We start from the raw sequence: 12,005 nt of genomic DNA, 5'->3' as shown, positions 1-12,005 counted from the left end.
TGCCATATCTACTATGTGAATGTCAATTTCTTCCTGCTTCTTGGTGAGTTAATCACTTAAATGAGAAGTAAGGTTAAAGATAAATTTGTCAACTTATAGGCCTTTTTCTTCTTCTTCCTCCCCTCCCCACCCCCCGGCCAACCCTTATTTTTCTTCACCTGTACTCTGGAGCTGCCAAATATGCTTGCCTCCAGAACTCCTCTCTCCCAATTAAGAGGCTGCGTCAGGAAAAAAAAAAAAAAAAAAAAAGAGGGGTGCTCTTCTTCCTACTCCCACACTCATAAATTTCTCTTCCAACCTCCTGATAGTCCCTGTGTGTGAATAACCTGAGGACTAAGCTCTGATATTTTATCTTACCCAAATTCCTACCTAAGGGGTCTAAGGAGCCATGCCCTACAAACCATAAATTCTCATCAGATGGATTTTATTTGACCCTATATATTGTGACTTAGTTTTCAATCCGACTCTGGCATAACATTATGAGACAAGAAAAAAATATTTAACCCCAAAATATACTTCCTTGCCATACCTTGAAATTGCCCTGCAAAGTCTCTTGGGGGAAAAAAAAATCCACATTCTATAGAGAATCCCTTTCCCCTTTTCTTTTCTTTCCTTTCTTTCCAGATCCAGGAGATAATCAACTAAGAGCCAGGCACCTTTTTAAGTCCAATAAGAAACAATTTACAATCTGCTCTCTCTGAAGTCTGCTATCTGAGAGCTTCTTCTGCACAATAAAACTTGGTCTCCACAATCCTTTATCTTTAACCTGAACGTTACTCTCTATCAATCCCAGGTCTTTAGACAAACTCACCAATTGTCAACCAGAAAATGTTTAAATTTACCTATAGCGTGGAAGTCTTTGAGTTGTCCCTCCTTTCTGAACCAAACCGATGTACTGCTTAAATATATTTGATTGATATCTCATGCCTCCCTAAAACAGATAAAACAAAGCTGTACCCTGACGACCCTGGGCACATGTTCTCAGGACCTCCTGAGGGCTGTGTCACGGGCCATGGTCACTCATATTTTGCTCAGAATAAATCTCTTAAAATATTTTATAGAGTTTGACTCTTTTCGTCAACAAACCCCATTAAAGTTGTATACCACAAAGTTTTTAAAAATATTGTCCACCTCTTCATCAAAGGTTACGCTATTGAGAGATAGGACTAGCTGGATTTCCTAGGCTGAATAAGAATTCCTAAGCCGACTAAGAATTCCTAAGCCTAGCTGGGGAAGGTGACTGCACCCACCTTTAAACACGGGGCTTGTAACTCAGCTCACACCCAGCCTATCAGGTAGTAAAGAAAGCTCACTAAAATACCAGTTAGGCTAAAAGCAGGGGGTAAAGAAATAATCAGATCATCTATCGCCTGAGAGCACAGCGGGAGGGACAATGATCGGGATAAAAACCCAGGCATTATTCGATCCAGTAGCTGTAACCCGCTTTGGGTCCCCTCCCATTGTGTGGGAGCTCTGTTTTCACTCTGTTAAATCTTGCAACTTCACACTCTTCTAGTCCGTTTTTGTTCTGGCTTGTTCTGGCTCGAGCTGAGCTTTCAGTCGCCGTCCACCACTGCTGATCACTGCCCTTGCAGACCCGCTGCTGACTTCCACCCCACCAGATCCAGCAGCGTGTCTCCTACGCTTCTGATCCAGGAGGCGCCCATTGCCGTTCCTAATGGGGCTAGAGGCTCGCCGTTGTTCCTGCACGGCTAAGTGCCCGGGTTCATCCTAATCAAGCTGAACACTAGTTGCTGGGTTCCACAGTTCTCTTCTGTGACCCACGGTTTCTAATAGAGCTATAACACTCACCGCATGGCCCAAGGTTCCATTCCTTGGAATCTGTGAGGCCAAGAACCCCAGGTCAGAGAACAAAAGGCTTCCCGCCATCTTGGGAGCAGCGCCCTTGGGAGCAGCCTGCCACCATCTTGGGAACTCTAAGAAAAAAGACCTGCAGGTAACACTATGTTCATAAGTGAAATTAATAGATAACACCCTGCCTTTCCTTATCTCTTCTATTCAACTGTATTTTATTTTATGACTTTTGTGTAGAGCTTGTTAAATGTTAATTAGGTTCTTCCCTAGTTGGAATTTTTTTTGTTTTGTTTTGTTTTTGTTTTGAGACAGTCTCGCTCTGTCACCCAGGCTGGAGTGCAGTGGTGCGATCTCAGCTCACTACAAGCTCCGCCTCTCGGGTTCACGCCATTCTCTGTCTCTGCCTCCCGAGTAGCTGGGACTACAGGTGCCAGGCACCACGCCTGGCTAATTTTTTTTTTTTTTTTTTTTTTTTGTATTTTTAGTAGAGACGGGGTTTCACTGTGTTAGCCAGGATGGTCTCAATCTCCTGACCTCCTGATTCTCCCTCCTTGGCCTTCCAAAGTGCTGGGATTACAGGTGTGGGCCCTTGTGCCCAGCCTTAAATGACGTTTTCTTTGACAAGTATACATGCACTTCCTCTGCTGTTTCTCTAAGTTTTCTCTAACTTTAAATAAAATTTGATGTCTAAAAGTCTATATAAAACTTGAAGTATATAAAAAAGTCTACACAGATTAAATTAAATTATTGAATTGTTTTATTTCACACGTGTCTGTACATACAACTCTCTGAGCACAGATGTAGCCAGCATTATTAGACAAGACACATAGAATGTGCATAGTAAAATGATTCTATTGACAAAAAACTGTCCCTGCCAGTTTTAAATAATCTAAATTTGTTTATTTATATAAATTTTTATTTTTTAGAAACGGGGTCTCACCCTGTCACCCAGGCTGAAATACAGTGGTGTGATCATAGCTCACTGCAGCCTCAAACTACTGGGCTCAAGCAATCCTCCTGTCTCAACCTTCTGAGTAGCTGGGACTACAGGCACAAGCCACCACACCAGGCTAATTTTTAAATGTTTCTGAAGGGACAGGGTCTCACTATTTTGCCCAGGCTGTTCTTGAAGTCCTTCTGGCCTCAGTGATCCTCTTGATTTGACTTCCCAAAGCTCTGGGATTACAGGTGTTAGTCACTGTGCCTGGTAAAAAATCCATATTTATCTGTCTGGAAATTGTACATCTCCTTATTACATTACTATTGCTATGGGCAATAAAGATGAAAACTGAGTGTGCAGGAAGTTGTTTATTACATTAAATAAAATAACTTCAAATTTTGTAAAGTTGATGATAAATTACAAATTAGAGAAAGGAACATGCTTTTTAAACTCCAAATGACTTTTTAAAAAGTTGATATTTCTTTCATAAGAAATATTATGTCAATTTATGATTTAGGAGCCTTATTTAGAGTGTTAGGGTGGAATGTTAGAGTCCCAGTGTTCTACTTTCCAGAATACTCAGCTTTCATCATGTGAGAAGCCCAGAGCACAAATTACTGAACAGTTTTGAAATTTCCTCATTAGTTGAAAGTATTTATTATGTGCATTAGATTCTTTCTCTGGACCATTTATAAAACACTTTTTTAAAAAGCATATTTGGTGTTCATGTACTTAGAAGTAAGTAAATATCCTATTTCTTCTCACTTGGTAAGGAAAGATCACAAAACCATTCTCTTTATTCATTTGACTTAGGCATGCCATTTGAAAAAGCTGATTTCTTTTAGATATTAGAGTAACCAGTCTGTAAAACTAGACAATTTTATGTACTAACGTAATATCACATAAACCTCATTGAATCTATCTTACAGTGTGTGTGAGCTAATAAAATAAATTTAGCACATGCTTTAAAAGACTCAAGAAGCAAATTTGACTTAATTATTTTTGACATAAGTACAAGGCAGAAAATTCAGAACTACCTGATCTCAACATTAAGCAAAAACAGAGCAAGCTCCAGAAATAAATGTACATCTATGTGGCCAAGTTACACTCAGTATTTTCTCATTTCTAATTTGGTATCCTTTTGACAACCTTTATTCTTAGAGATCTAAGGTCCTCTAGACCATTCTTAAGTAGCTGTTACATATTTTAAAATTGTCAACACACGGAAACATTCAACTAAAATGTATCTACCTTCTGTGACATTCCCTAAGGGATTTTCTGTTTCAATTATAAAGTTATTGTATGTTCAAAATGTAACTAATTCATGTTAACAACTTAAATAGAAAAGCTATTTTTTATTACAATTATTACTATGTAGTCATGATAGTAAAGGGATAACAACAATGACTTCAAAAACATATAACATTTTAGTTTTATATGTAGTAAAATGATATATGCTAGACAAATTAAAAACACTTGTACTACCAAGCTCATTCCAGTAAGCGTCACAGAGATCTGTGAATGTTGTCTTCTGGCTGAGATGATGACAGAAGGCTTTAGAGAGAATGAAGCTATGTATCTGAGTTTTGAAGATTAGATAACTTTCTGAAAACACAGATGGAGAGAAAGACTACTTTCAATAATAACAATAATAAAAAGACATGATGTAAAAATGTTAAGCATCTCTTGGGGAACAGAATGCAGCAGTATAGTTTGGAGACAGTGAACATATTTTTTGTAAAAATGTTGTAAGAAAGTGCATATAGCAAGGTAATGTTTTGAGAAGTGTCCCCTGAAAGGGAAAGTAGTGGATGGCACACTAAAATTTTTCTTGTTGATGTTTGGTTCTATTTTATTTTCAATTTGATGCCCCCTTAGTATTAAATTTCATGCAGTGATTTTATTTTATTATTAACTTGACTCAATTGAAACCAGAATTTCAATGACAACAGAACTAGTTGCTTTCATGTGAGTGATATTTTCCTAATTTTTACTGTTCATTTTATATTTATTTATTTATTGAGACAGAATCTCGCTGTGTCACCCAGGCTGGAGTGTAATAGGGCAATCTTGGCTCACTGCAACCTCCCCCTCAAGCAATTCTCCTGTTTCAGCTTCCCTTGTAACTGGAATTACAGGTGCCTGCCACCACGCCCAGCTAATTTTTTGTATTTTTAGTAGAGATGGGGTTTTGTCATGTTGTCCTGGCTGGTCTTGAACTCCTGACCTCAGGTGATCCACCCACCTCAGCTTCCCAAAGTGCTGGGCCACCGCACCCAGCCTTTTCATTTTAAAGTGACTTTTTTATTGAAATACATTTCAAACATGGATATCAAAAAATAAATAACTCATGAGTGTAACTAAATGAACGCTTACCTAGTGAGCACATCTGTGTAACCACAGTACAGATGAAGAAGTGGAACATTAGTAATACCCAGTATTCTCATTTCTTTTTAGTTAATGTGTCCCCTACAAAGTTTATTGATATGCTGACTTCTGTCATCATATTAGATTACGTTTGTCTATTTATGAACATTATATAAATGGAATCATACATGTAAATTTACTATTTAGTGTCTGGCTTCTTTAACTCAACAGGAGGCTGGTAGCATTCATTCATGCATGCATTATATGTAGCAAAATTTCTTACTTTCTTATTGCTATATAGTATCCCATAGTCTATATTAAGAAAATATCACAATATAATTATTCATTTTACTATTGGTTGTTTATGTTATCTCACATTTTTGGCTACTATGAATAGTGTAGGAATGAACACTCACTGTTATAAACTGAACTCTTCCCCACCCTTCCTCAAATTTATATGTTAAAGCCCTAACCCTCAATGTCACTGTATTTAAAGGTGGGGTCTTTAGTGAGGTAGTTAAGGTTAAATGAGGTCATTGGGGTGGGTCCCTAGTTAGATAGCATTTGTGGCCTTATAAGAAGAGGAAGAGACACCAGATAGATCTCTCTCTCTCTCTCTCTCTTTCTCTGCAAAAGCAGAGGACAGACTATGTGATGCACAATGAGATGGTGGCTATCTACATGCCAGAAAGAGAAGCCTCACCAAAAACCAGTCATGTATCTTGAACTTAAACTTCTAGCCTCTGCAACTGTGAGACAATAAATGTTTCATTGCTTAAGCCACTCAGTCTGTGGGATTTTGTCATGACAGCACAAGCAAACTAATGCATTGCCATACATAAATATCACAAAATCCTCGTATTCACTTAAAGTAGAAATTTTGCACATTTTTCATCAGTCTTATTCCTAGGTAACTGAAGTTTTCTCAAACTACTATAAATGCTAACAGTCTTTAAATTTTACTTTTTAATTTTCATTTTCAACATATAAAAATATAATTATATTTTTAATTGTTTCTGTATATAGTTCCCTGACAAATTTATCTTTTAAACTAAAAGAATTTCTCTCTAGATTATCTCAGATTTTCTACGTACACATTAAGTCATCTCAAAATAATCAGTGTTTTCTTCTTTTCCAAATCTTATAATTTATATTTTCTTTTTTTATCATACTAGCTAGGATTTCCAATAATATGACTAATAAAGTTGGTAATAGTAAGCATGTTTGTTTTATTCTTGATCTCACAATGAACATTTTCAACTTTTCATTGTTAAATATGATGTATAGTGGAGATAATTTAGAAATACTCTTTAGCAAATTAAGAAAGTCATTTTCCATTTCTAGCTTACTAAGAGGCTTCTTGATATATTCATCAAGTAACAAAATGTATCTCCTGAGTATTGTATATTTTTCTTTTTATTTGTACCAGACGTGATGTTATCAAAGAAACAGAACCACTAGAAGTGATGTCAAATAAAATAATTATTATGTGGCTTTGATTACATAATTGTGGTAGTTAGGGAGTTTATTACTTCTGTTGAGTCAGAGTCTGGTACAGCACTGGGAAGCACCTGCATCAGGAGTGCAGGCAGTTAGGGAGGAGGATGATCAGATGGTAGAGAAGACTCAGGAAAAACTGGAGTCCATGAAGACAAGCTAGAACCCACACATTAATTGAAACCAAGTTAGTCTCTTGCCATATCTAAGCTTCTAATGTCTATATATGAGTGACCTATAGGAGAAGGTCGTTCCTTTTCAACTGTCCCAATAGTCAAAGGAGCAGGAGAGAGTGACCCAGAAGAAGCTGGAAGACCTGCTACCACATACCAACAACATGAGCCAGTTGATAGATAACAACCTGCATGAGCTGCAAGAGTGTCTAGCTCTGTACAGACTTCCCAGTATAAACACAGTGGCTGTTTCATTTTTCACCTTCCAAATATTGCACAGATTTCTCTCATGACAATCCCAGGCAAGCAGCACATGAGAAAGAGAATTTTGGGAAACATAATTTCAGATGAGCTATATTGACACATAACAAACCTAACTTGACATCCATGTATACACTGTTATCGACAAATAACTTCCAAATAAAAACAACAGTAAAAACATACTTCTGCATGGCATGGTATCATTATAGCTCGTGTAACTGAAAAATTTCAATAACTGTCAACCTAAGCCTTATCTCTAATGATTTTTCTCCTTAAAGTAGCAGATATCAGGGTGGAGTGGGAGGAAAGGATGGGAGTATGGAAGGAGAGAACTGCTCTCTGTCAATAAGCAAGGTATTGCATTTAATTTTAGTTTTGAACAGCTACATGCACTGCTCAATCAGACACACCTGTAATGTTTTTCATCCACCTAGAGTTCTACACCCTGTTGCTAACACCATACATTTCAACCTTGGGAACTTTCTGACTTGCTAACTACAGGCATGTTGGCTTTAGTCCAGGCCCACAGGACTTGCTGCCCTGTTGTCATCATAACACACCTCCCTTCTCCTGTCTCAAGGAGAGTGGGCAATCATCAGAGCACCCCTGGGGCAGCTTGTTTTAACTCTCACTGTTTATTCTCTAAACATTCATTAATAGGTAGGGGAGTGAAGGACTTTTAGCACCCCCTCCCACTCACCATTTGGATGAGAGCATTTGCTAACAGTTCTGAATGAGAATTTTTACAATCCCCATATCATCTCACAAGGACCACATTCTTTCTCCTCCAGAAAACCATGTACCTATCAGCACTTTATCCTCATTGCCGAAACTTTCAGTAACTATAAAGAATCTAAAATATGGCTGGGCGCAGTGGCTCATGCTTGTAATACCAGCACTTTGGAAGGCCAAGGCAGGTGGATCACCTGAGGTCGGGAGTTCAAGATCAGCCTGAGCAACATGGAGAAACCCTGTCTCTACTAAAAATACAAAAATTAGTCTTTTGTGGTGGCAGGCACCTGTAATCCCAGTCACGCAGGAGGCTGAAGCAGGAGAATCACTTGAACCCGGGAAGCAGAGGTTGTGATGAGCCAAGATCATGCCATTGCACTCCACCCTGGACAACAAGAACAAAACTGCCTCACGCACACACAAAAAATCTAAAGTATTACTCTGCTTGCAAACTACCAAGTTATTATTCCACTATTTAATGGATGCTAGAGAGATACATGAAATGACTAGACCAAGATGAAGAGTTATTACTCACAAAAATAACAGAAGCCAGAGTATCAGTTTCTGTATCTTGTTACTTGAGCCCCAATTATCACAGAGTAATTCAAAGGGGGCTACATTATGCCTATACATGTTACAGGTTGTATTATAGTTGAGAAATCCTATGTTTGGAAAACCTAAATCCTTTATAATGGCCAGTAAGTCTGCCTGCTCTTTGCTCTGGAGAAATACATTATCTCTACTATTTTGGATTGCAGTTAGGCCTTTAATTTTCTCCATAGGGAGACAACATATCTTCAAGGCTGTTTGCTACACAAACATTCTTTAAAAGATTGAGTGGAACAAAACCAGTTATTGTCTTTGTTTAGAGACCATGTAGAAACATGAAAGAGCCATGGAGATTTAGCCCTCAATAGTCAACTGAACTGCACTGAGATCGGCCAGCTAGATTATGTAACCTACTCATGACTTTAGGACCTCCCCAAGCCCAACCTTGTCTGTATCACTTCCATTTGACGAGGGAGTATTGCTGAGCACATCCACCTTTAAAGTTTGGAAGGTCATAGAACACCTGACTCATTATGGGAAGCTCAGGTTGCATGGTAATCGCATGCTGTATGGTCAAGTGTGCTGTCTTTCCTAGGCCCATATAGAAAACCAGAAGCTGGTTTAGGCACCACTTTACTATAAATTTCTAAGAACAAACCCAAGGCTTTAAGCAGCATACTTGTTCTGCCAAAGACAATTCATGAAAAATGGAATATTTGGGCTATGTGGCTAAGTGGCAGAAAGTTTTGGTGGAACATAGTGTCTTTTGCAGAGATTTTTATTGTTTGGTGTCCTGTTCAAAACTAGCAACATTGAAAGTAACTTGATAAATGGGTCACTAAAATGGGGTAAATGGAGCTACCAATATGCAAAACTGTCCATAAGCATTGTGTCTTGTTTTCTAGTGGTAGGGGGTGCCAGATGCAAAAACCTATCTTTCCACACTGAAAGATATATCTTCACGTCCTGGACAATGGGACCCTAAAATATTTTGCCTAGGTAACAATCCCCTAAACTTCTGTGGGATTTATTTCCCATTCTCTGGAGTACATGAGTCTTACAAAGGATTTTAGTATATATGCTACTTTCTGCTCACCATATCAAGAGAACATGTTATCATCAAACTAACGGAGCAGCATGATGTCCTTTAGAATAGAGAAACAAGGTTGGAAATTTAAAATTGTCCTGAGGGGTCAGAGAAGTGGTATTGTTGGCCCTGGCAGCTTAAAGAAAATGGGTTCTGATGATCTTTATTTTCATTTTTATTTTTAATGTAAGTTATTTATTTATTTATTTTTGAGACGCATTCTCATTCTGTCACCCAGGCTGTCGCTATCTCTGCTCACTGCAACCTCTGCCTCCCAGGTTCAAGCAATTCTCCTGTCTCAGCCTCCTGAGTAGCTGGAACTACAGGCACACGCCACCACGCCCAGATAATTTTTGTATTTTTAGTAGAGATGGGGTTTCACCATATTGGTCAGGCTGGTCTCGAACTCCTGACCTCAGGTGATCAACCCGCCTCAGCCTCCCAACAGATAATCTTTAAGTAGTAAGTACTGAGAAAAATATATATATATTCTCCAGATTAATAGTCGCATACCAGGTCCCAGTGGATGTGTTTATTTGTTCTGGCAATGAAATCACAGCTGAAAAAGCTATTGTAATTAGAATAAAGACCCAATTAAGTTTACAATAATGCACTGCTAATATCTAAAATCCATCTGTTTTCTGCATAAACCAAATTATAAGTTGAAAGGCTATGTAGTAGTATTCATCACCCCTGCATCTTTCAAGTTTCTAATGGTGGCACTAATCCCTGCAATCCCTCCAGTAATGCACTATGTGCTATCTATTTTATTAAACATTATTGTACTTGAGAGGCGGTTTTGGTGATTCTATTTGGCTCACTCCAACACCATGTTTCCCACTTTACAGGTCAGCGAGTCCGTGTGGCCATTCTGCATGTTACTGAATAAGTCTATTTCTGTCAGCATTCTGTACTGAGGATCTACTCACAGAGAGAATTCACAGTCCATTGGGTACACTGTGAGAATGGCTCAAGCCAAAATTTCATTTATATCATAACCTGTAAAAGCCCCTAGTACGACTGTGGGCCTCAGCTGTGTTTGGGGTCTCCAGGAATTATTGGTTCAAATTAATAAATCCAGTAATACCCCAAAATGCTGATCATTTCCCTTTCTCAAATGCTTAGTCACCCTGGTAAATAAATGATCATATAACCCTTTGTAGAAGGCTTGGGAGATATACAGAGGAAAGCTTTTGGCTGTATAGCAGGAGCCTTCCTTAAGGGGCCTGAGTATATCATAAATCCAAGGTACTCTTGAGCTGTGAACTAGCTCAAGTCTGTAATTGTGGAGCTGTTTTAACTATTGTGGTGATTCAAGTCAGACTTCTGTTCACCAGACCTGGAGATTTTCAGGTGATACAAATCAAACATTAAGCATTCCACTGTCTAAATGACTTATTGGGACACGTTATTTGCTAGCAAACCTCAAAGACTTCTGAGAGTCAGAATGTTCTGGTCACTGCTTTGTCCCTGTTGTGCAGTATGATATGCAGGCTTACTGTGTTTTTGTTCATTTGTGCCACCTCTTTGAATACCTACAGCCTGTTTGTAAAGTCTTTTAGCCCTATATTTATTATGCCTTCTTACCTATTTTATGTGTACCTGCCTGTTATGAACCATGAAAAATAAATGTGTGTACACCTGTACATGCAAACACACACAATCATACAGATGTGTTGAGGAGCTTGCATTAAAATTATGTGCTGTTATGACTAGAAGAGTACTTTCCACATTGTATAGTCTCCTTAATATGCTTTAATTTAAATCCCCTCAAAAATAATAGATGACTTTGAAATTTAAATCAATTCCTCCCAAAAATTACTTGTGATAGAAAACTGGCTCAATATATCTTAAGTATAAAGGAGACAGTTGCCTCCTGTAACTGAACTGTAGAAATGGCAGCAGTACAACTTCACCTTTGGTGTATTGGGAGCTCTATGTTACTCTATAATCCAGAATTTTGTCTCCATTGTTTATTTTCATTTCTCTCAGTATGTCAGTTTAATTTTCACAGATTACTTTTCTCAACTTTGGTCATTACTGTGACCATTAGAATATATTAGACTTGGTCGAGTGAGATGGCTCACGCCTGTAATCCCAGCACTTTGGGAGGCCGAGGCAGGTGGATCACGGGGTCAGGAGATTGAAACAAGGTGAAACCCCATCTCTGCTATCAATACAAAAAAATTAGCCCGGTGTGGTGCCATGCACCTGTAGTCCCAGCTACTGGGGAGGCTGAGTCAGGAGACTCACTTGAATCCAGAAGGTGGAGGTTGCAGTGAGCCAAGATCGTGCCACTGCACCTCCAGCCTGGGTGAGCAGAGTGAGACTCCGTCTCAAAAAAAAAAAAAAAAAAAAAAAAAGAATATATTAGACTCACATATTTGCCCTTTTATCACTAGAGAGCAGAGGATAAACAGGATGAAGTGAACAAGGTAATAAAATTGATAGCCAATTCCTGGAATACATTATTGGTATAAAATTGAGAGAAATGTTCTCTCAAAAGTGAGATCCACTGTTCAATAGTGAGGAATTATACATAGACAAAGCAATAGAGAGGAGTTATATATAAACAAAGCAATAG

At 38.4% G+C, this 12,005-nt stretch overlaps 2 annotated features.

The window, feature by feature from the left end:
• Window positions 1,383-2,582: an enhancer, noted in NCBI's record as "MED14-independent group 3 enhancer chr13:62131441-62132640 (GRCh37/hg19 assembly coordinates)". NCBI's record gives its function as "activates an origin of replication core promoter dependent on BRD2, BRD4, P300/CBP and CDK7 cofactors, and independent of MED14, by STARR-seq in HCT116 cells {active_cell/tissue: HCT116}" and the evidence as "EXISTENCE:reporter gene assay evidence [ECO:0000049][PMID:35650434]".
• Window positions 1,917-2,117: a silencer, noted in NCBI's record as "peak2075 fragment used in MPRA reporter construct". NCBI's record gives its function as "represses an SCP1 promoter by STARR-seq MPRAs in K562 erythroleukemia cells {active_cell/tissue: K562}" and the evidence as "EXISTENCE:reporter gene assay evidence [ECO:0000049][PMID:32103011]".

Source organism: Homo sapiens, chromosome 13 (genome assembly GCF_000001405.40).
Source record: "Homo sapiens chromosome 13, GRCh38.p14 Primary Assembly".
Classification (NCBI taxonomy): domain Eukaryota; kingdom Metazoa; phylum Chordata; class Mammalia; order Primates; family Hominidae; genus Homo; species Homo sapiens.
This window is presented reverse-complemented; position numbering and strand designations above follow the sequence as displayed.